Genomic DNA, 20,820 nt, shown 5'->3' with positions numbered 1-20,820 from the left:
CGGCCTGCCAAAGTGCTAGGATTACAGGCGTGAGCCACCGCACCCAGCTGGTTTTTACTCTTTAAATGTGCATTATCTTATTTGATTCCCAGAATCATCCTATATGAATGCTATTATCTTCATTTTATAATTGAGGAAACAGGTTTATCTAGATTAGGTAACTTGTCTGAGGCTCTTCGGTAAATACGAGTAGCCAAGAAGCTTATTCATCAACAGTGTGTGACTCAGCCCTAAGCACTGCACTTATACCTCCTAGTAATGAGATGTGCGAGGAATGCCCTGGCTACCTTTTCTGCTCATGATATTATCCCTAGATGCTTTCGCATCTTTATTAAAACAGTAAAAATGCAAGAGTCTTCCACCCAAGTTTTCTGTGGTTTAGATTATCACGTTCCTCAAGATGCAAATGTCAAACTATACTGGGCATCCAGTTAACCTGCAAGGCCTGGAGGTGATGGGAGCCCCTCCTAGCACAGGTTCCCAGTCTCAGTCAGAAAGCACCTGCTCAAAATAGAAAGATAATTACAGAGTAGGGGCCAAAGAGACTCCCACTGGAAGAATGGAACTTGTGTAGCTGGGGTGACACAAGCTGGGGACAAGCTGGGGGACACATTCGCGAAGGGTGTTTGACCCAGGCAGTGCACCCACGGCTCCCTTGAGCCACCCTGGCCCGGGTGTTTATTTGGAAGGAGTGTTCATCCCCCAGACTGTTTAGGGCCACGGTGACAGGGAAGGGCTTGGTGAAGGAAAGCAGGTAGGGTATGAAGGCCGCTCAGGTTCACGAAAGACTTTTGCTTGGTCCCCTGCGGGGTGGGAGTGTGTCGCCCCGGTGCGGGTACTTAGAGCGCAACCGGGGAGCTGAGCAGGGGAGCTGAGCAGGGGAGCTGGGCAGGGGCGGCTGCCGCGCCCCACATCCCTGAGGGCGTGTGTGCGCGTGCGCGCGCGTCGCCGTGGTAACCGCGGCGGCGGAAAGGCGCTGAATCACTGGCGCGCGCTTTCCCCGAGCCTGCAGAAGCTGCCGCGGGCGGTGGGCGGGGATCCCCCGGGGGTGCAACCTTGCTCCACCTGTGCTGCCCTCGGCGGGCCTGGCTGGCCCCGCGCAGAGCGGCGGCGGCGCTCGCTGTCACTGCCGGAGGTGAGAGCGCAGCAGTAGCTTCAGCCTGTCTTGGGCTTGGTCCAGATTCGCTCCTCTGGGGCTACGTCCCGGGGAAGAGGAAGCGAGGATTTTGCTGGGGTGGGGCTGTACCTCTTAACAGCAGGTGCGCGCGCGAGGGTGTGAACGTGTGTGTGTGTGTGTGTGTGTGTGTGTGTGTGTGTGTGTGTGTGTGTAAGACCTGCGATGACGACGAGGAGGAACAAGTGGGACGGCGAGTGATGCTCAGGGCCAGCAGCAACGCATGGGGCGAGCTTCAGTGTCGCCAGCAGTGACCACAGGTACGGTATCTACTTCCCAGAGCGCCTGGCCGAGAAATAGGAAAGAGGGCAGCCAGTAGGCAGGCCAATACCCAACAAAAGTAGAATCGAGACGCCCTGAGTTCAGAAGGTGAGTTTCTTAAGATTCTTCTGGGCATTCAGGAAAGGGCATTTTTTGATTGCTGCACTGATTGTTGACTAGTAGGGTGGAGTCGGGGAAATTTGAGTGTCTTTTCCCAACCTCACGAATTGCATTTTTTTAGAAGTAAGGAATCGTTTTCTTTAAACTTCATTCAGAACTATTTATGTGATCTTTCCTATTATTTGCTAAATGCATTTTGTCTCTGTTCCTTACCATAACCTGAAGCTTAAAATCTTTCTCTTCTTCCCTTTGAATTCCCTCCAAGGAATGTCACAAATTAATCGGGAGGATAAACCTGAAATTTTGAGAGTTATCATCTTAAGGTCATTTGTTAATTAAATACAAGGAGGAAAAATATGATATACATACTCATGTGCACTTTTATTGCTGGTTTGTTCATCAAAACATTTTTGTTTGTCGGTGAAATGTTAGTATTTTTTCCACTGCTTGAATTGAAAAGTTGAATGATGTTTTTGATAGTAACAGAAAAAATAAATTGTAGACAATGTTCCCCCCCACACACAAGAATTTTGGAAGTAAATGTTGGTATTTATTTCTTTATTCCTGAAATACATGCTCACTTTCCAAATGCTTCAATTTATTATAAGAAGACCACAATTGTAGAGACTACTAAAGTTATGCCAAATCTAAACTTTTATTTTGTGCTTTTTTTAGTATTATTTTTAATTCAGATGAGGAAAACTGGAGGTGTCAGTTCAGTTATAGACGTAGGAGTCACAGAGAAAGGTGAATTCCTCTGTAATTTGAAAAAGGGAAATGTAAACATATTACCTAAGTACTCTGATTTATTTGTATTAACCATTTGTAATGCATTTGCATTTGTAATGCAAAATGCCGAGGCAAGAACTTAATTTTTGTTTCGAAATAATGAAAATAATTCAGCCAAAATCTTTATGAATTAAAAATAGCCAAAAGAGAGCTTTGGTAATGTATGAATGTAAAAGAATAGAGTTGCTGTTAAATTTTCTTGACTTTTTTTTTTTCCCTAGCCAATAGATAGGAAGCATTCTCTTTAAATAAATACAGTAAGTCCTCACTTAACATTCTTGATACGTTCTTGGAAACTGTGAACCTTTAAGCACAACGAGGTATAAGGAAACCAATTTTACCACAGGCTAATTGATATAAACAAGAGTTAAGTTCCTACAGCATATTTCTGGTCATAAAAAAATCACCAAACTTCTAAATAAAGACCACAACACTTCTAATATTAAACATAGAAATAAATGGGATCTATACATACAGTTAAGAAGGATTAGTAAAAACAAGATCATTATTTACCCAATTATTACAGTTCAAGGTCATGGGTAGCCAGAGTCTCCCTGGTTCAGAGTGGGAACCCCCCCCTCTCCCCTGTCCAGGAAGCTATCCCATCACAGGGTGCACTTTCACAGACACACCCACTCACTCAGACGGGGACCATGTAGACATATGCACAGCTTTGGGATGTGAAGGAAACCGAAGCCCAGAGAAAACCCACGCAGACATGAGGAGAATGAGCAGACTCCACATAGACAGTGGCCCTGGCCAGGAATTTTTTTGTCACCAACGTTGAATGAAACTATGTTATTGAGGCACTGCTGTATGTAGAGCCAGGTATGCCCGTTTCTGGAACGGAGTGCTGCAGATTGCCAGGTCAGAGGGTGTGGGTTTGGGCGTGGCTCTGCCACTTAGTGGCTGTCTCACATTTGGCAAATTCTCTAAACCCTCTAAGGCTCAGTTTCCTCACCTGTAAAATAGAGATAACAATGGGACCTACTTAACGAAATTCCTGTAAGAATTAAATACAATAATATGTTTAAGAGATCTTTGCTCATTGCCTGGCATGTTTTAATAGTAACGCTTCAATAAGTGTTGTTATTTTTGAGATGTGTTCTTTTTCAGGAAATATTTTTCATACCTTAAAAATAATTTGGTACTAAAAAATAGATTTATTTTGACATGTCCAAAGCTTGTTCTGATTTATGATATCAAATCATCATAAAATGCATAAATTTTTCCTTGCAGCACCTTTATAACAGCAACAATAATAAATATAATAATCAAAATCATAAAATCATGTCAATTTAATATTCTGGTAGCTTAATACCCCCAAGGAAGGAGCTTTGCTTTAGTAGGCCTAGAATAATTGGTAGGTTATTTTTCTATTTGTTTTTAAAATTTTTTTTATAGATTTAGAGTGTACAAGTGCAGTTTTGTTATGTGGATATATTGTGTAGTGTCAAAGTCTGGGCTTTTAGTGTACCCATTACCCGAATAGTGTAGGTTATTTTTCTATTTGTCTTTAAAAATCTGTACCTTTAGACACTATTCATGTGAATTCAATAATAAGAAAATATTTTCTCATTTATTTGTATTAAACAATAAAAATGGTTGAGCCAGAGTAACATCTGGCATCATCATTTTGCAGGGTCTTTTAACAGTAGGTGTTTAAGTTTTAAAGTAGAGCTGCTTAAATGACACCAGTAGGTAAAGATAATAGTGTTCAAGTTTTAGTTATTTTTCCTTCTAAATAATATTGTAGAATTATCCTGCCTGCCAACTTGCTGGTCATTCTTTTCCTTAAGTTCAAAAAAGCAAAGGAGGCTGGGAACGCGGTGGCTCATGCCTATAATCCCAGCACTTTGGGAGTCCGAAATGGACGGATCACCTGAGGTCAGGAGTTCGAGACCAGCCTGGCCAACATGGTGAAACCCCATCTCTACTAAAAATACAAAAATTAGCCAGGCATAGTGGTGGGCGCCTGTAATCCCAGCTGAGGCAGGCGAATCACTTGAACTCCGGGAGGCGGAGGTTGCGGTGAGCCCAGATTGCCTCACTGCACTCCAGCCTGGGCCACAGAGCAAGACTCTAATTCAAAAAAAAAAAAAATGCAGCAAAGGATTATAGTAAGCATCTATTTAATTTAAGCAATGTAGCTTGAATAAGAGGATAATTCAGGCCTAAAAATGAATTTTCAAAGTTGGGGTCATTCCATGCTATTAAGCATCAGAATATAAGCATGGAGGGTAAATTAACTCCAGCGTTGCCACCCATAACACCCATACATTTTAAGCATTACAGTTGATAGGATGTTTATTCATGTGATGATGGGGAAGTATGGGCTGTCCCTTCCCAGGATCACAATCCTGTTCTGTTATTCTAAGATTGTGATTATGTCAGCATACCTTACCATCTTTTGTTTTCATCATTAAGATGAAGTACATGATGTGTAGCTGCACTGTCTTGTAATCATTGTAACAGAGTTACCTTCAAAATTTTTTCAAAATAACCCTTTAAAATGTCTTTCTTTTCTTTTCTTCTTTCTTTCTTTCTCTCTCTCCTTCCTTCCTTCCCTTTCTTTCTTTTCTTTTTTTCTTTCTCTTTCTTTCCTTCCTTCCTTTCCTTCTTTCTCTTTCTTTCTCTCTTTCTTTCTTTCCCTTACTTCCCTCCCTCCCTCCCTCCTTCCCTCCCCTTCCCCTCCCTACTCCTTCCTTCCTTCTTTCCCTTCCCTTCCCTTCCTTTCTTCTTTCTCTCTCTCCTTCCTCCCCTCCCCTCCCCTCCCCTTCCTTTCTCTCCCCTCCCCTCCCCTTCTCTTTCTGACACGGTCTTGCTCTGTCACCCAGGCTGAAGTACAGTGCCACGATCTTGGCTCACTGCAGCCTCTGCCTCCTCCCACCTCAGCCTCCTGAGTAACTGAGACTACAGGCGCATACCACCAAGCCCAACTAATTGTTATAGTTTTTATAGAGACAAGATCTTGCCATGTTGCCCCGACTGGTTTTGAACTCCTGGGCGCAAGTGACCTGCTCACCTCCGCCTCCCAAAGTGCTGGGATTACAGTCATCAGCCACCATACAAGGCCTAAGATGTCTCATTTTCAAGAAAACTGTTTTTACCATCTCTCTCAGTATATTTGTATTGCTTAAGAGGCTAAAATATTTTGTTAATTTGGTGTCTTCAACCTCTTTGTCTTAAACATAGGTGCCAAATGTTCAAAATTTATTGTAGTATAGGAAAGGTCTTCCCATGCAGATATGTGTTTCTGAGCATGCTAACTAGGTTAACTAGTCTTCAATGTTTCCTATCCCCTACTATACTACAACTGCTTTTCCCAAACTTAGAGACATTTCTGACTTCATTTTACTAGACTTCTTCCACCTGTTTGACCATTTGCACTTTCTGGAAACAGGTTCATCTTTTGGTTCGCAAGTGGTATCCTTTAATCTCCTTCTAGGGTTACCTTTCTAAAGCAGTTACATGAACACATTACTCCCCTGGTTATAAATTTTAAATGTTATGTCCATTGATGGATATGTGGATAAACAAAATATGTTAAATATACACAATAGAATGTTACTCAGCCTTAAAAAGGAAGGAAATTTTGATACATGCTGCAACATGGATGAACCTTGAAGGCATTACGCTAAGTGAAATAAGCTGGACACAAACAACATTGTATGATCCTACTTACATGAACTATTCAGTGTAGTCAAATTCGTAGAAACAAGAATAAGGGTTACCAGGAACTGGGAGTAGGTGGGAATGGGGTGTTATTGTTTAATGGGTACAAAGTTTCAGTTTGAGATGATGAAAAAGTTGTGGAGATAGATAGTGATGATGGTTGCTGCTAAATTGTATATTTAAAAATGGTTAAAATGGGCCAGGTGCAGTGTCTCATGCCTGTAATTGCGGCGGTTTGGGAGGCTGAGGCGGGCAGATGACTTGAGCCCAGGAGGTTGAGATCAGCCTGGGCAACATGGTGAAACCTCGTCTCCACAAAAAAATACAAAAATTAGCTGGGCTTGGTGGTATGTGCCTGTCATCCCAGCTATTCGGGAGGCTGAGGTGGGAGGATCATTTGAGCCCAGGAGGTTGAGGCTGCAGTGAACCATGATTGCACCACTGCATTCCAGCCTGGGCAACAGAACAAGACCCTGTCTCAAAAAATAAAAATGGTTAAAATGGTAAATGTTATGTTATATATATTTTACCACAATGAAAAAATTTAAAAAATATCTTCGATATGCCCCCACCACCTACTAAATAAAGCGCAGATCTCTTAATGTCACCTATATAGTTCTTTAACATTTCTTCTTGGTCTACCTTTTTTCATCTTCTTATCTCATCATAACCCACACCTATTCTACATTACACCCATATGGAACCACTCAAAATATGCCAACTCTTCCAAGAGTCCATGCCTTTTATGTACAGTCAGTCCCCACAGACTGGATTGCATTTTTTCAACAAATGGCTAATTTCTAAGGATAGAGCTTAAACATCATGTTGTTGAAGGCTTCCCTAATGCCCTCATCTCATCTCTATTTCCCTGATGGCATTCTTGCTCACTGTGCATGCCTTTTAACATCACTTATCCTGTTCCTGGATAGTAGAAGCCTCTATAGAGAAGGGACTGTTTTATTTTTAACATGCATATTTACTTTAAAAAATTGAAAGTTAGTAACATTACACATTGTATGCATGTACCAAAATACCCTCAAAATATATACAACTATTATGTATCAATAAAAAAAAATTGCAGCCTTTCTCCTCACAAAAATCTAAATAAATGTTTTTGTTCTCTAAAAGTATATGACCTTACTATACTTTAATGTCAGTTTCCCTCTCTGTCATCTTTCACTTCATTATTATTTGACATTTTAGTTTGAATAATATTTTATTATTATTTACCAACATGCTAGCCAGTTTCTTACTTACCAATGCTTCTTTCATCCTTGCTGTTCAGCACTTTTTTTTTTTTTTTTAAGATGGAGTCTCACTCTGTCACCCAGACTGGAGTGAAATGGTGTGGTCTCGGCTCACTGCAACTCCGCCTCCCAGGTTTAAGCGATTCTCCTGCCTCAGCCTCCCGAGTAGCTGGGACTATAGGCACGTGCCACCACACCTGGCTAATTTTTGTATTTTTAGTAGAAATGGGGTTTCACTATGTTGGCCAGGCTGGTTTGAAACTCCTGACCTCGTGATCTGCCCGCCTTGGCCTCCCAAAGTGTTAGGATTACAGGCGTGAGCCACCGCGTCCAGCCAGCTTTTCTTATAATAACTCTTTTTTTAAAAGTTTCATCCAGCCCCAAATGTCATATAGTAACTCTTTTAGTAAGAATATATGCATAGTAAACTCAGTCTTTATCTTAAAAGAACCTTTATTTTATTATTACTCTTGAGTGCTAACAGTGAGTATAAAGTTCTAGATTGGCAGTTTTTGTTCCTCTATACTTTCTAGATTTTATTTCCATTATTTCCTAGCATCTATTCTTACCAATGAAAATATTGCTGTCAGTCTGATGATTGTTCCTTTTAAGATTATCTGTCTTTCGTCTCTGGCTCCTTATAGGATCTACTCTTTGTCTTTGTTGTTCTACAGTTTGATTTCAGTGAACATAGGAATAGATTTACTTTAATCCGGCTCAGAACTTCTTGTACTCTCTGGATATAAGGATTTTTTTTTCTTTCATCAATTCTAGAAAATTGTTTGCCATTATCTCTTTACATATTTTTTCCCTCTAGCTTTACGAAGGTATAATTGACAAATAAAAATTGGCTGTATTTACCAGGAAAGATGTGATGTTTTGATATTTGTGTACATTGTGAAATGACTACCACAAACCAGGTAATGAACCTATCCATCACCTCATTTATTTATTTATTGACTGTTTCTTTGTTTGTTTGTGTTTGATAGGAATATTTAAGATCTACTCTCTTAACAAATTTCAAGTATACAATACAGGATTGTTAACTATAATTACCATGCTGTACCTTAGATCCCTAGTATGTATTCATCTTACAACTGATCCCTTCACATCTTGCCTCTTTCTAATTCTTTTTTTTTTTTTTGAGACGGAGTCTGGCACTGTTGCCCAGGCTGGAGTGCCGTGGCGCAATCTCAGCTCACTGCAAGCTCCGCCTCCCAGGTTCACACCATTCTCCTGTCTCAGCCTCCCGAGTAGCTGGGACTACAGGCACCCGCTACCACGCCTGGTTAATTTTTTGTATTTTTAGTAGAGACAGGTTTTCACCATGTTAGCCAGGATGGTCTCGATCTCCTGACCTTGTGATCTGCCCACCTCAGCCTCCCAAAGTGCTGGGATTACAGGCTGGAGCCACCACGCCCGGCTGCCTCTTTCTAATTCTTTTTATTATTTCCTTTTGAAGCCATCAGGAGATGTCTGTTGGACCATTTATTACTTTACAACTCTTATTTGTTTGCATTTTCCAATTTTTTATTTCCTTGAATTGCATTTTGGGTTATTTCCACAGATATTGCTCCCATTTGAGTTCACTGGATTTTAAAATTCAATAGCTTTATTTCTAATCACACAACTTTTGATATAGGTATTTTAAACTATACCCTTAAAAAATCTTACTATCTTGTTATTTTATTATGATTTTTGTCTCCTCTCCCTACTTTAATTTCTTTTACCACTTCAAACATACTTATTTTTTACTGTCTCTTTGATACTCTTTTACTTTCAGTTCTTGCTTCTGTTTGTTTCATCTGCCACCTCTCCTTTATATTGGTTTGCTCCCTAGTATGTATTACATATTTTAAAGGTGACTTGTCTTCAGTGGGAGTTGCTTTTCTGGTGGAGTTCTATGTGCTCTGTGTTGGGAAGTATCCCTCTAGACAGATTTTGCAATGCTTCTACCTAGGGCTCAGCCAGTTTTTTCATTAGTTTCTTCAGCTGTGCTCCCACATTATGAAGGTAGACTTTGGATTCTACCAAGCAGACCTGGGGTTCTGATTTCCCTTGAGAGATTTTTTTTTTTTTTAACTGAAGGATCTGCATAAATGGCAAACATCCTTCCTTTCTTAGCTGATAGGCGGGATCCTTCTTGGACCAATTCTTCAAGGCTCTTACCTTCATCAGTTGAACTCAGTCCCACTCTTCTGCCCCTGTGTCCTAAGGCCATAAGAGGGCACTTCAGAAAGTTCATAGAAAAATGGAAATAAAAAACATTACGAATATAAACTTTATTTCTCAACATAAGCTCCATTAAGTTCAAGACACTTTTGTAACTGATGATAACAGCCACTTAGTCCATCCCCAAAGAACTGAGGGTCCTAGAAATTTACTACATCAATGCAGTTGTTTTTACATTACTAAAGAAAAATGAGTGCCCTTTAAAGATTACTTAAGACTAAAACAAAAAGAAGACAGAGGGATCTACATCAGGACTGTAAGGTGGATGCCTAATGACTTACCATTGAAACTCTTGAAAAGTCGCCCTTGTTTTTTGAGAGGAATGAGCAGAGCTCTCGGGTGAAGCTTTTCCAGGCATTTTTCTGCTAAAGCTTTGGCTAACTTTCTCAAAACACTCTCATAATAAGCAGATGTTATCTTTGGTCCTCCAGAAAGTCAATAGGAAAAGTGCCTTGAGCATCTCAAAAAACTGTTGCCATGACCTTTGCTTTTGACCACTCTGCTTTTGCTTTGACTGGACCACTGCCACCTCTTGGTAGCCATTGCTTTGATTGTGCTTCATCTTCAGGACCATACTGGTAAAACCATGTTTCATCTTCTGTTACAAAGCTTTGAAGAAATGCTTCAGGAAGTTGATCCTACTTGTTTAAAATTTCCATTGAAAGCTCTGCTTTTGTCTGCAGCTTATCTGGGCACTCTGGTTTTGGTACCCATGGAGTAGATAGTTTGCTCAACTTTAATTTTTCTGTTAGAAATGTATAAGCTGGACCAGTTGAAATGTATGGTGTCAGCTATTTTTTCTGCTGTTTATTATCTGTTCTCTTCAACTAGGGCATGATCAGAACAATAATCTCTGAGAAAAAAAAAAGAAAAAAAATTTTTAAAAAAGGAAAATAAATAAGAGCATAAACAAGATGAACTTTTCCCTTGCAGATTGATGTGGATGATCTGCTGCTGTGGGCTGCTTCTTCAATATCATCTCATCCATTTTTAAAATGAGTTATTCATTTGTAAACTGTTGATTTCTTTGGGTCATTGTCCTCATACAGTTTTTTTGTAAAGTATCAGTGATTTTACTATTCTTCTACTCAAGCTTCATCATAAATTTGATGTTTGTTCTTCCTTCAGTTTTCACAGAATTCATGTTGCTCTAATAGGAGCTGTTTTAAAAGTGATGTCTTATTCTTCTTAGTGCCTCAAACTAGATCCTGTTCAAACAAGTTATAACAAGCTAGTACAAGTTTATTTTGGTGCAAAAAAATTGAAATCTCTTCATAGTTTTTTCATAATTTGCATTTTCCATGAACTTTGTGAAGACCCCTTGTATATCCCGTTCCAAAGTGGTCATTGAATGCCCAGTGCTTGCTGCTAGGGCCTATGTTCAGATCCTAAAATCCTGTGGGAAACCCACAATGTCATCTGTTGATACCTGTTTTGGCTTTGGTTTTTCTTGGATCTCTGACACCTAGAGATTCCCTTTCTTTGGGGCGTAGGTATGTATTCAAAGTGTTTTGTGGTTGCATGTATATATGTTCCATTTATCCTGGAAATGGAAGCTGTAAATTAATACTCCACAGGTTGTTAAAGCAAAGTCCCCATAAAGAGGCATATCTTGGCAATCTTTCTTCCCTTTGTTTTTAGTCTCTCATTGACATGCCTCTGGTTTCTTTTAGCCCTTATTTACGTGATTCATTAGTCGTTCTAGGCTGCAGTGGTGTTTGTTATTCTTTCATAATATTTCATAATGTCAGAAGATGCCTACCCACTTGCCTGTTGCATTAGTTTGCTATTGCTACGGAACAACTTGCCACAAACTTAGTTGCTTAAAACACCCATTTATTAGCATTTATTTGTGTCTCACTAGAGCCAAATCAAGTTTTCAGTTGAAAGCAGTCTCCTCTGGAGGCTCTGGGGAGGAATCTGTGTCCAAGCTCATTTTGGTTGTTGGCAGAATCCAGTTCCTTGGGGTTGTAGGACTGATGTCCCCATTTATTGCTGAATATCCACTGAGGGTTACTCTCAGCTCCTGTAAGCTGCTTTTGGGTTCTTTCCACATGGACCCCTCCATCTTCAAAGCCAGGAATGGAAGATTTCTCTCATATTGAATATCTTCTCTCTGACTTCTCCTTGTATTATCAACTGGAGAAAACACTCTGCTTTTAAAGCATTCTCTGAAAGGAAAACAAAAACTGAGGACAGAAATTCACTATGCTGAAATAAAAAAAAAATTAAGCCAAAAGCTGAGTCCTACAAGAAACTGCCTTTCCTGGCCAGGTGTGGTGGCTCATGTCTGTAATCCCAGCACTTTGGGAGGCCAAGGCGATTGGGTCACCTGAGGTCAGGAGCTTGAGACCAGCCTTCCAACATGGTGAAACCCCATCTCTACTAAAAATACAAAAATTAGTTGGGTGTGGTGGCGTGCACCTCTAATCCCAGCTACTCAGGAGGCTGAGGCGGAGGTGGAGGTGAACCCAGGAGGTGGAGGTTGCAGTGAGCTAAGATCACACCATTGAACTCTAGCCTGGGCAACAATAGTGAAACTCCATTTCAAAAAAAAAAAAAAGAAAGAAAGAAAATAAACTGCCTTTCCTTTTGTTCCTAAGCAGATAGCTACAGATAAAAAATTAAATAGCTCCACAGGTAGCTGCTCTAAGCTCACCTTATCTTATGTAAAGTGCTGATTTGCAGAGCTTGAGAGAAATACATAATTGACTGTTCCCTTACATGTTTCTTTTCCCTTGGAACATGTGGATTACCATATCCTCCCTCTTTCCCCTCTAGCCAGGTTTTCCCCTTTAAATATTGAAGCTCTCAAAATCATCTTCGGAGAAAGGCACAGACCACAGACTATTTCTGTGATTTTGTTCTTTTTTCTTCCAGGCATATCCTTAACCTTGGCAAAATAAACTTTTAAATTGATTGAGACCTGTATTAGATACCTTTTGGTTTACAGCTCATATGACCGGTTAGGACTATTTGGACAATCTCCCTATCTTTAAGCCAACTGTTTAGTAACCTTAATTATATCTGCAAAATCCCTTTTGCTATCTACTATAATGTAATCATGGGACTAACACGGTGTCAGAATTGTGGGGCCATTTTGGAATTCTGCCTCTTATATCAGCTGATATTTACTGTTTGCTTCTTGACTATTTCCCATGAAAATACACACTTTGAGCCACATTAAAACTTACATTTTAATATTCATTGTGATGCTCTTTCTCTGGTTTTGATAGATCTGGAAATATTACTTGTACATCTTTTGTCACCCATTATGGGTCAAACTTTTCTCTAGTACATAGAATACATGACAGAAAAAGAGACTACAGTAGATTAAATAAGACATGTTGTAGAACTCACTTGAATCAAGGTAGTGTGTGTTTCGAGGTGTGCTTGTATTTTATTCTGCCTGGCCATGTGTTTGTTGAAAGGTGGCTCCATATGTTAGTCTGCCAGGCTGGTAGAAGTTCTGTCAAACCTGCTTTATTCATCTCTGTATTCCTAACATTTAGCGCTTTCAGTCCTTCATGACAGGTGTTAAATAAATGCTATTTGGAGAATGCTACTTTTTACTCTGTGGAACTTGACTATTTTTTTGTGTTTATTTATCTTGCCTTTGATAATATCTAATTCCTTAATTGATCCAAAATAATTTTGTTCCTGTGTTTGAAACTAATATTGTATTTCCCTCCTTCTCCCTCTTTTTTCTTTACTATTCACATTAATTTTTTGTTTGTCTTTTGAGCATCCAAGTAAATTTTCTTTCTAGTGGTAGTATACAGTTGTCATGACAGCATTTGTTAAGTAGTAATTCTCATCCTGTAGTTTTATTATTCCTAGTTTGTTGTAGAATAAGTCCGAATAAAAAGTCATTTGGGGTTTTACATTTTAGAAGATTTTTTTGATCTAATAATTTTTTGTTCTAATAAGTATTAAATTTATCATTACCTTTTATTCTCATTTCCCAAATATCCTTTTATATTTTTGCTGGTTTATGTTTTCAAATAAATTTCATTAAGTATTTTAAAGCATTCTGTTGAGTTTTAATTCATTCTTCTAATTTTTTTTTTTAAATATAGAAATAGCATCTCACTATGTTGGCCAGGCTGATCCCAAACTCCTGGCCTCAAGTGATCCTCCTGCCTTGGCCTCTCAAAGTGCTGGGATTCCAGGCATGAGCCACTGAGCCTGGCCCTTAATTCACTCTTTGTTTCTCTGTTAACGTAACATATTGTTATCTTTAATATGTATTGTCCTCCCAAGTTGAATGAGGTTTCACATTCCCTTTATTCATATCTTTAATTATCTTTCCCAGTACAGTTTTATGATTATGTTTAAAAAGAGCTTCTCTGTCATGCCATAAGTCCTCTTGCATATTGGGAATGCTTTTGGTCCTGCCTGGGAATGGGATCTCCCTGATTAGTGCACCTTCTACCTGTATATTTGTCTGCATATGCAGAGATACTGTTGCTTCTGAGAACTTTGCTAACCCTTCACCAGCCTCACAGTGTTACTGCAATGCTGATTTTTTTATTAGTTTGATGAGTTTGAGTATGAAAAAAATCTTGTATTATCTTTCCAGCAGCTCCCCAATAATCTGACTCCTAGGAAGTTGAAAAAGGAGGGTTTGGAATATCTTCCTTGCCTGTATTTTCTCCCAGCTGGTCCCTGGCCCTCCCTTTAGAGCCCCACAGAATCTGCTTCCTCCCTGTTCCTCAAGAATGCCCTTCTTGTGTTTAAAAACCAATGCTGGATTATGTTTCCCTTAATTCTACTTGATCTCCTAATAGGGAGTCATTTTATCCCACAATTGTAAAGCATTATCTCTGTTGCCAGCATATTTATCAGTAATCCTCTGTGTTGATTGGCACAGGTTTATCCACTTTCAGTGGAGAAAGTCAGAGCATAGACTAATAGTACTGAAAAACTGCCAGAGTTTTACTTTGTTGACTTGGCCTCTAGCTGCATGTGCTGTCTTATTTCCTTCACTCTATCTCTTTCTTTGTTGATGAGGATTTTGCAGTTTGAGACCGTTTTGTAGGTGCAGGAGCAGCTAGGCAAGTCATCTCTGCAGGTTACTTTTAGAACTGCTTTCTTTTCTGTACCACTCCCCAGGCCCAGGCAGTAAGGAGTGGAGAAGTGTGCCTCATGAATGATTTATCAACTGCTTTGGCGAGAGAAAGTGCTGAAATTAAGAAAGACCAGACTCATTTTCATCTTTTATATTCCTTACTCATTGATACTTAGAAAATTGTTTTGGAGAAACTGGAAACTTAACTTCTGAATGGTGAGCCACAGAGCTTCAACCGATTCAGCTAGAATATTCTATATACCTGTTGGAGATAACAATATTTGTCTTACCTCTGGCGGTATTGGGATGCTCAACTAATGCGATATATGTAAAATTGCCTTGTGATACAAAGAACTATTATAAATGACTATTATTTTGATAATGGCGATGATGAATATTATAAACCACTTATTTCCTGATTATTAATAGGATGGATTGTTAATTGACAATATTCTACCTTCTTTCCATTTTGCTCCTCTTCCTTCATAGGGAAAAAGCAAACAATTATTTACTTAATGCCTGAAAGTTAAATTCTAAAGGAAAACTTTTTACTAGCTGATCATAGGTCTGCTGATAAGAATTGAAAGATGGGACAATCTCAGGTTTATGAACAGTTGCCTGATACTAAAGGTTAGTAATCACCAGCTGTCTTCAGAATTTGGCACAAAGCAGATTTATTTTCACTGACATAGAAAGCATCCAGCCTCTGGGCCTGGAGAGGACGGAGCCCTGGCTGGGCGGGCTGCATAGTCGTTGGCGGGGGTGTCTGCACTTTCTCTAGCCTTCCTTGGGGCATGTTTTCTAAAGGTGATAATTTACTTACTATAGCACAAGGCAAAGCACCTACTTAGATAGCAGTGGTGACCCCGTTAGATAAGAATTGAATTTAGGGAGAAATAAAAGTGCTGAGCCATTTGAAAGCTAAGTTGTTTCCATAATTAGGGAGAATATTTAAAGCCACATGGTGTACACTCAAGGTTTCACCTTCTAAAATTGTTTTTCCTAATGTAGGGACAGTGTTTCCAGGAGTAAAAAACTGTGGTGTTATGTTGTAATACAAGGGCTGTAAGACAGTGCATTAATCTAAGACTGTGGAAAAGATGGTAAAATTTACCATAGCAATTGGTGCATATTTGTTTCTTACCATTTCTTTCTCCCAACGTATACTCCTTCACTACATGCCACCTATTGCTCCTTTCAATTGTTCTCTTATCTGTTTTATCAAGTTGACCCTCCCAATGAGTGGGAAATCCCCTCCTTCCTTTCTAGCACTGTTTCTGTGACTCCTGGAGAGGTGCTCAGGAGGTAGACCCATGGCCTGCATTCACCGCTGAAGCTGAAGGCTGCCTTGGCGAAGACAGGTTTTGTCAAAGTAGTGGCTGATACGGCAAGGAAAGAGGAATCATAAAAGAGGAGAACTTCCCTAGCTGCCCCACTGGCTAAATTGAACTAGGAATATATTATGGCTGCATCTTTTGTGAGTTCACTGGCTCTAAAAAGCAGGGCTTTGCCAGCTTAGTTTCCTCACTCAGTAAACCATAAATGGGACAACCTATAAATACAGCTCGTTCTTAACAGCCTGTAGGACAATGCTATGCAGACAATCTGTTTGGATCTCTGAAAGAGGCCCTCTTTGGGCTGTTTCCATTCCCTTCAGATACAAAAGCTGCAGCTTGCCCTTTTCTGAGCCTGCAGAAGCATTTCACTCCAGCATTATTTATAAACATCCCAAGTTGGAAACAAAGAAATGATGAAGTAAATTGTAATAATCAATGGAATGTTGCAAACAAATTATAAAAAATATAACAATGAAGGATAATTTTTGTGATAAAATATTGAATGAAAGTATTATACAACTCTAAGATGATAGCTGTACTAAAGTTTGTGTGTATATGTGTATATATATATATATATATACACATATACACACAATTGAATAAATGGAACGAGAATCTAAAAGAAGAAAAGCAGCCATTTGTTGGCACGATTTATAATTTTTTTCTAGGAATGTACAATTTATAATGACTAATTTTTTAATGTAATTTTTTTCTTTTTTCTTTCGTTCTTTCTTTTTTTTTTTTTTTTTTTTTTTGAGACAGAATCTTGCTCTGTCACCCAGACTGGAGTACAGTGGTGCAATCTCAGCTCACTGCAACCTCCGCCTCCCGGGTTCAAGCAATTCTCCTGCCTCAGCCTCCCAAGTAGCTGGGATTACAGGCGCATGTCACCATACCTGGCTAATTTTTTTATTTTTAATAGAGAAAGGGTTTCACCATATTGGCCAGACTGGCCTCGAACTCCTGACCTTAAGTGATCTGCCCACCTCAGCCTCCCAAAGTGCTGGGATTACAGGTGTGAGCCACTGCACCCAGCAATTTTTTTAATGTAAGTTTTTGTCACGCTATTATTATTTTTATTTTTTTAGACAGAGTCTCACTCTGTCACCCAGGCTAGAGTGCAGTGGTACAATCTCTTCTCACGGCAACCTCCACCTCCCAGGTTCAAGCAATTCTCCTGCTTCAGCCTCCCGAGTAGCTGGGATCACAGGCATGCGCCACCATGCCCGGCTAATTTTTGTATTTTTAGTAGAGATGGGGTTTCGGCATGTTGGCCAGGCTGGTCCTGACCTCAGGTGAGCCTCCCACCTCAGCCTCCTAAAGTATTGAGATTACAGGCATGAGCCACCAGGCCCGGCCTTGTCATGCTATTTAAAGAAGGATTTATTTCATTCACTCAGCCTCCATTCAGACAGTGTGCTAGAGCCCAGGCAGAGAGATGCAGCCAATAAAAGCACATTTCTCCTGGGGTGTACCTCTCCAAGGTTCTGTAACATATAATTTTGAAAATCACACTAATCTCCTTCATTAAAAATTTTATCTCAGATCTAAAGCAGCAGCCACGGGGACAGCAACGTTTCAGTCACAAGGTTTGTTTCATAACTCATTTTGTCTTTTTATTTTTAAAAAAGGTAGCAGCCATGAGAAAGCCTTACCATTCCACACCCATCACTTTTAGCTGTACAGTACCTTATGCTGGGATAAGTGTTTCATGTATTCTGAGTTTTCTTTCTTTTTTTTTTTTTTTTTGAGACAGAGTCTCACTCTGTTGCCCAGGCTGGAGTGCAGTGGCACGATCTCGGCTCATTGCAAGCTCTGCTTCCCGGGTTCATGCCATTCTCCTGCCTCAGCCTCCCAAGTAGCTGGGACTGCAGGCGCCTGCCACCGCACCTGGCTAATTTTTTGTATTTTTAGTAGAGATGGGGTTTCACCGTGTTAGCCAGGATGGTCTCAATCTCCTGACCTCGTGATCCTCCCTCCTTGGCATCCCAAAGTGCTGGGGTTACAGGCGTGAGCCACCACGCTGGACTGTCATTGATTCCATCATTGGCTGACTTCCTTTGGTCAGAGATGAAAGAAAACCCCTAGTGTGTAAAGGCTCGAGTTGTTATTTTGTCTCACTATAAGGTAGATGGCGTTTTTCACCTTAAACTTAGAAAATACTGTCTGCTCTAGGTACTTCATGCAGTCGCTAATGGGACAGGACAGGCAAATTTCAGGAAGCTTTTCTTTTGAAAAGTACAAACAATGGTGTTATGGGTTGCGTGGTGTCCCCACAAAAGATGCTTTCAGTCCTAACCCCCAATACCTGTGAATGTGACCTTACGTAAAAATAAGGTTTCTGCGGATGGTATCAAGAAGAGGTTATGAGAGGGCCCTTTATCCACTGCGACTGGTGCCCTTATAAGAGGAAAATTTTGACCCAGAGGCACACAAGGAGAGCTCCATGTGACAATAGAGGGACAGATTGGAGGGATGCAGCTGCAAGCAAAGGAACGCCGAGGATTGACGGCCACCATCAGAAGCTAGGAAGGGACAAAGAAGGATTCTGATCAGACTCTCAGAGGGACATGGCCCAGCTGATGCGTTGATTTCCAACTTCCAGCTTCCAGAACTGTGGGAGACTACAAAACATTTCTGTTGTTTTCCGGTGCTTAGTTTGCTGTACTTTGTTACAGTAGCCCTAGGAAACTAATTCAGATGGTAAATGCAAGGGTTGTATTAAAAAAAAAAAAGAAAGAAAGAAAAAAGCACTGCAGTGAGAACCTGATGGGGGAACGGAAATGGACAGGTGTTCTGGACCTGGTCAGATCTTTTAAAAACCCACAGGGCAGTTGCACTTTAAAACTTACAAGTGTGTCTCATGAATTCTTTCAGAATCAAATGTGACATATTAAAATAAAAACACTTTAAAGAGAACTTACAGGCTAGAAAACAGAAAAACATAAGGTTCCTTAGAAAAATTATTGAACGGAAAGCAAAAAAATTCTTAAAAAGGTGGGAAAATTACAATACCTGACATTTCTAACCAGTACTTACTCTAAAACAAGGTCTATAAAAGCAACAGTCCACAAATTTACTTATTTAGGAAGTTTAGATTTTTAAAAATATGGTGATTTAGGAAGCTAAATGCCATTATAGGATGTTTTTATTGCCCATGTTCTGTAATTATTAGGACATGCTTTCCAGCACTACGTGTGCTTGAAATAATATAAAACCTGGAAGCAATGATGAATAATGTCTAACTTTTCATTAGCACAATTACTCAGTTCATTTTGCCCTAGAATAAGCAGTATTTGGAAGGAGGCTCCTACATTCAGGACATGTCTTCAGCATTCTTCTGGTGAACATTTATGCTGTTATTTGAGTAGTTTAATAATTTTTGAATAGTGACTATAAATGATGCACACAAATATTCCTCTTCTAGATTGTCTTCTGTGGATTAATTAACAGTTCATTAGATAATTATCTGTACTTTTAAGACCATAATGTTAGTCCCTGAACTGAAACCAGTAAGAAGATTGCTGGAAGTCCTGGCCTCTTTTCCCATTTACGGAGTAGGAAAGGTTACTTTGGTGCTTGAGGTAAATTCCAGTTTTCAGGCTACACATCGTGTTCATTTCTTTATTCTGCTAGGGCCACAGCTCATGACCTAGGTAGGCCCTTGCTGTGAATTCCTCACTGTATCATTTGTTCCCTAATTCTGACCTCTGTTTATCAGACCATAATCATGTCTTTCAGAAGAAAACAAGGAAGGAAGGGAGAGAGGAAAGGAGGGAAGGAGGGAGGAAAAAAAGGAAAGAAGGAAGGGAGGGAGGGAAAATGCTCACTAAGACCTAATCACCTTCCCTCCCAATTCATTCTTTCCATGGCTATGACTGAGCACTAAGTCCTCAGCAGAAATTTTGACCAGGAGGTTATCAGGTAGCACATTACCACCTGTTGACAGTGATCTCTAATTGTAACATCATCCCCAGCGCATTTCTGCACTGTACACATAAGGATGTCTTGGGAGAGCCTGCCAGCCCATAATTCTTACAGCATTCTGTTGATCTAACAACATGGGAACAACAGCCATCTAAAAAGTATGTGAAGTCCCCTTTTGTTACTAAGATATATTACATGTTATCATTATGGAAAATTTGGAAAATATAGAAAAGTAGAAAGAAAAACAATTGAGTTCTGCTGGCCTGCCCTGCTTTTTTTAAGACCGCACTTATAAATTGGTCACTAATGTCTTTGTGAAGTGCTCATGAATTATCTGTTCAATAACTCACTCTAGAATGTTGCTGGAGTTTGGCACCTAGGTCTTAACTTGCCATTTCTGTAAATAACCTTATTACCTTCCTGCAAATTGGAACTTTTGTTCCAGAAGCCGCCTAGCTTCTGGAAATTCTCTTTTTCATCATTATTCTGCACAGTTTACCAAAACTAATTGCACAATAAAACCTCAAAATTCCTTGGGTATCTTGGGACAATTTATGTGGCCCTTCCACTGGAATGGAAACTCCCAAAGGGAACCTTTTTATTCACTGCTATATCCTCACAAACTAGAATAGTGCCCTGCAAACATAGGTGTTCAATACATTTTCTTTTTAAAATGTTAGCTTCATTGAGATATATTTCCCATATCAGAACATTTACCCATGTAAAGTATAAAATTCAGTAGCTTTTAGTATATTCACAGTTATCCAACCATCAATTTCAAAACAGTTTCACCCCCTTTTTTTTTGAGAGCGAGTCTTGCTCTGTTGCCCAGGCTGGAGTGCAGTGGCACGATCTCTGCTCACTGCAACCTTCACCTGCCAGGTTCAAGCGATTCTCGTGCCTCAGCCTCCTGAGTAGCTGGGATTACAGGTGTGTGCCACCACACTCAGCTAATTTTTGTATTTTTAGTAGAGACGGGATTTTGCT

General features: G+C 39.9%; 1 protein-coding gene across 20 annotated transcripts in view, besides 1 other annotated feature; it reads left to right on the top strand.

Annotated features, from left to right (window-relative positions):
• Positions 925 to 1,134: a silencer, noted in NCBI's record as "silent region_16993". NCBI's record gives its function as "represses an Ori minimal core promoter by ATAC-STARR-seq in GM12878 lymphoblastoid cells {active_cell/tissue: GM12878}" and the evidence as "EXISTENCE:reporter gene assay evidence [ECO:0000049][PMID:35858748]".
• The window catches only part of KIAA0319, a 106,051-nt gene continuing 86,209 nt past the window's right edge, over positions 979 to 20,820 (top strand). For 8 of the 20 annotated variants that reach the window (XM_047419602.1, NM_001350404.2, NM_001350410.2 and 5 more), the window contains exon 1: positions 979 to 1,434. Coding sequence is in view for 1 of the 20 variants with exons in the window: in NM_001350404.2 (NP_001337333.1) it covers positions 1,398 to 1,434 (37 nt within the window). In the remaining 19 variants the exon portion in view is untranslated. Of the gene's footprint in view, positions 1,544 to 20,820 lie in introns of all 20 variants that reach the window. The other 12 variants (XM_017011546.3, XM_047419604.1, XM_017011550.2 and 9 more) reach the window with 2 other exon arrangements.

Source organism: Homo sapiens, chromosome 6 (genome assembly GCF_000001405.40).
Source record: "Homo sapiens chromosome 6, GRCh38.p14 Primary Assembly".
NCBI classification, from domain to species: Eukaryota; Metazoa; Chordata; class Mammalia; order Primates; family Hominidae; genus Homo; species Homo sapiens.
This window is presented reverse-complemented; position numbering and strand designations above follow the sequence as displayed.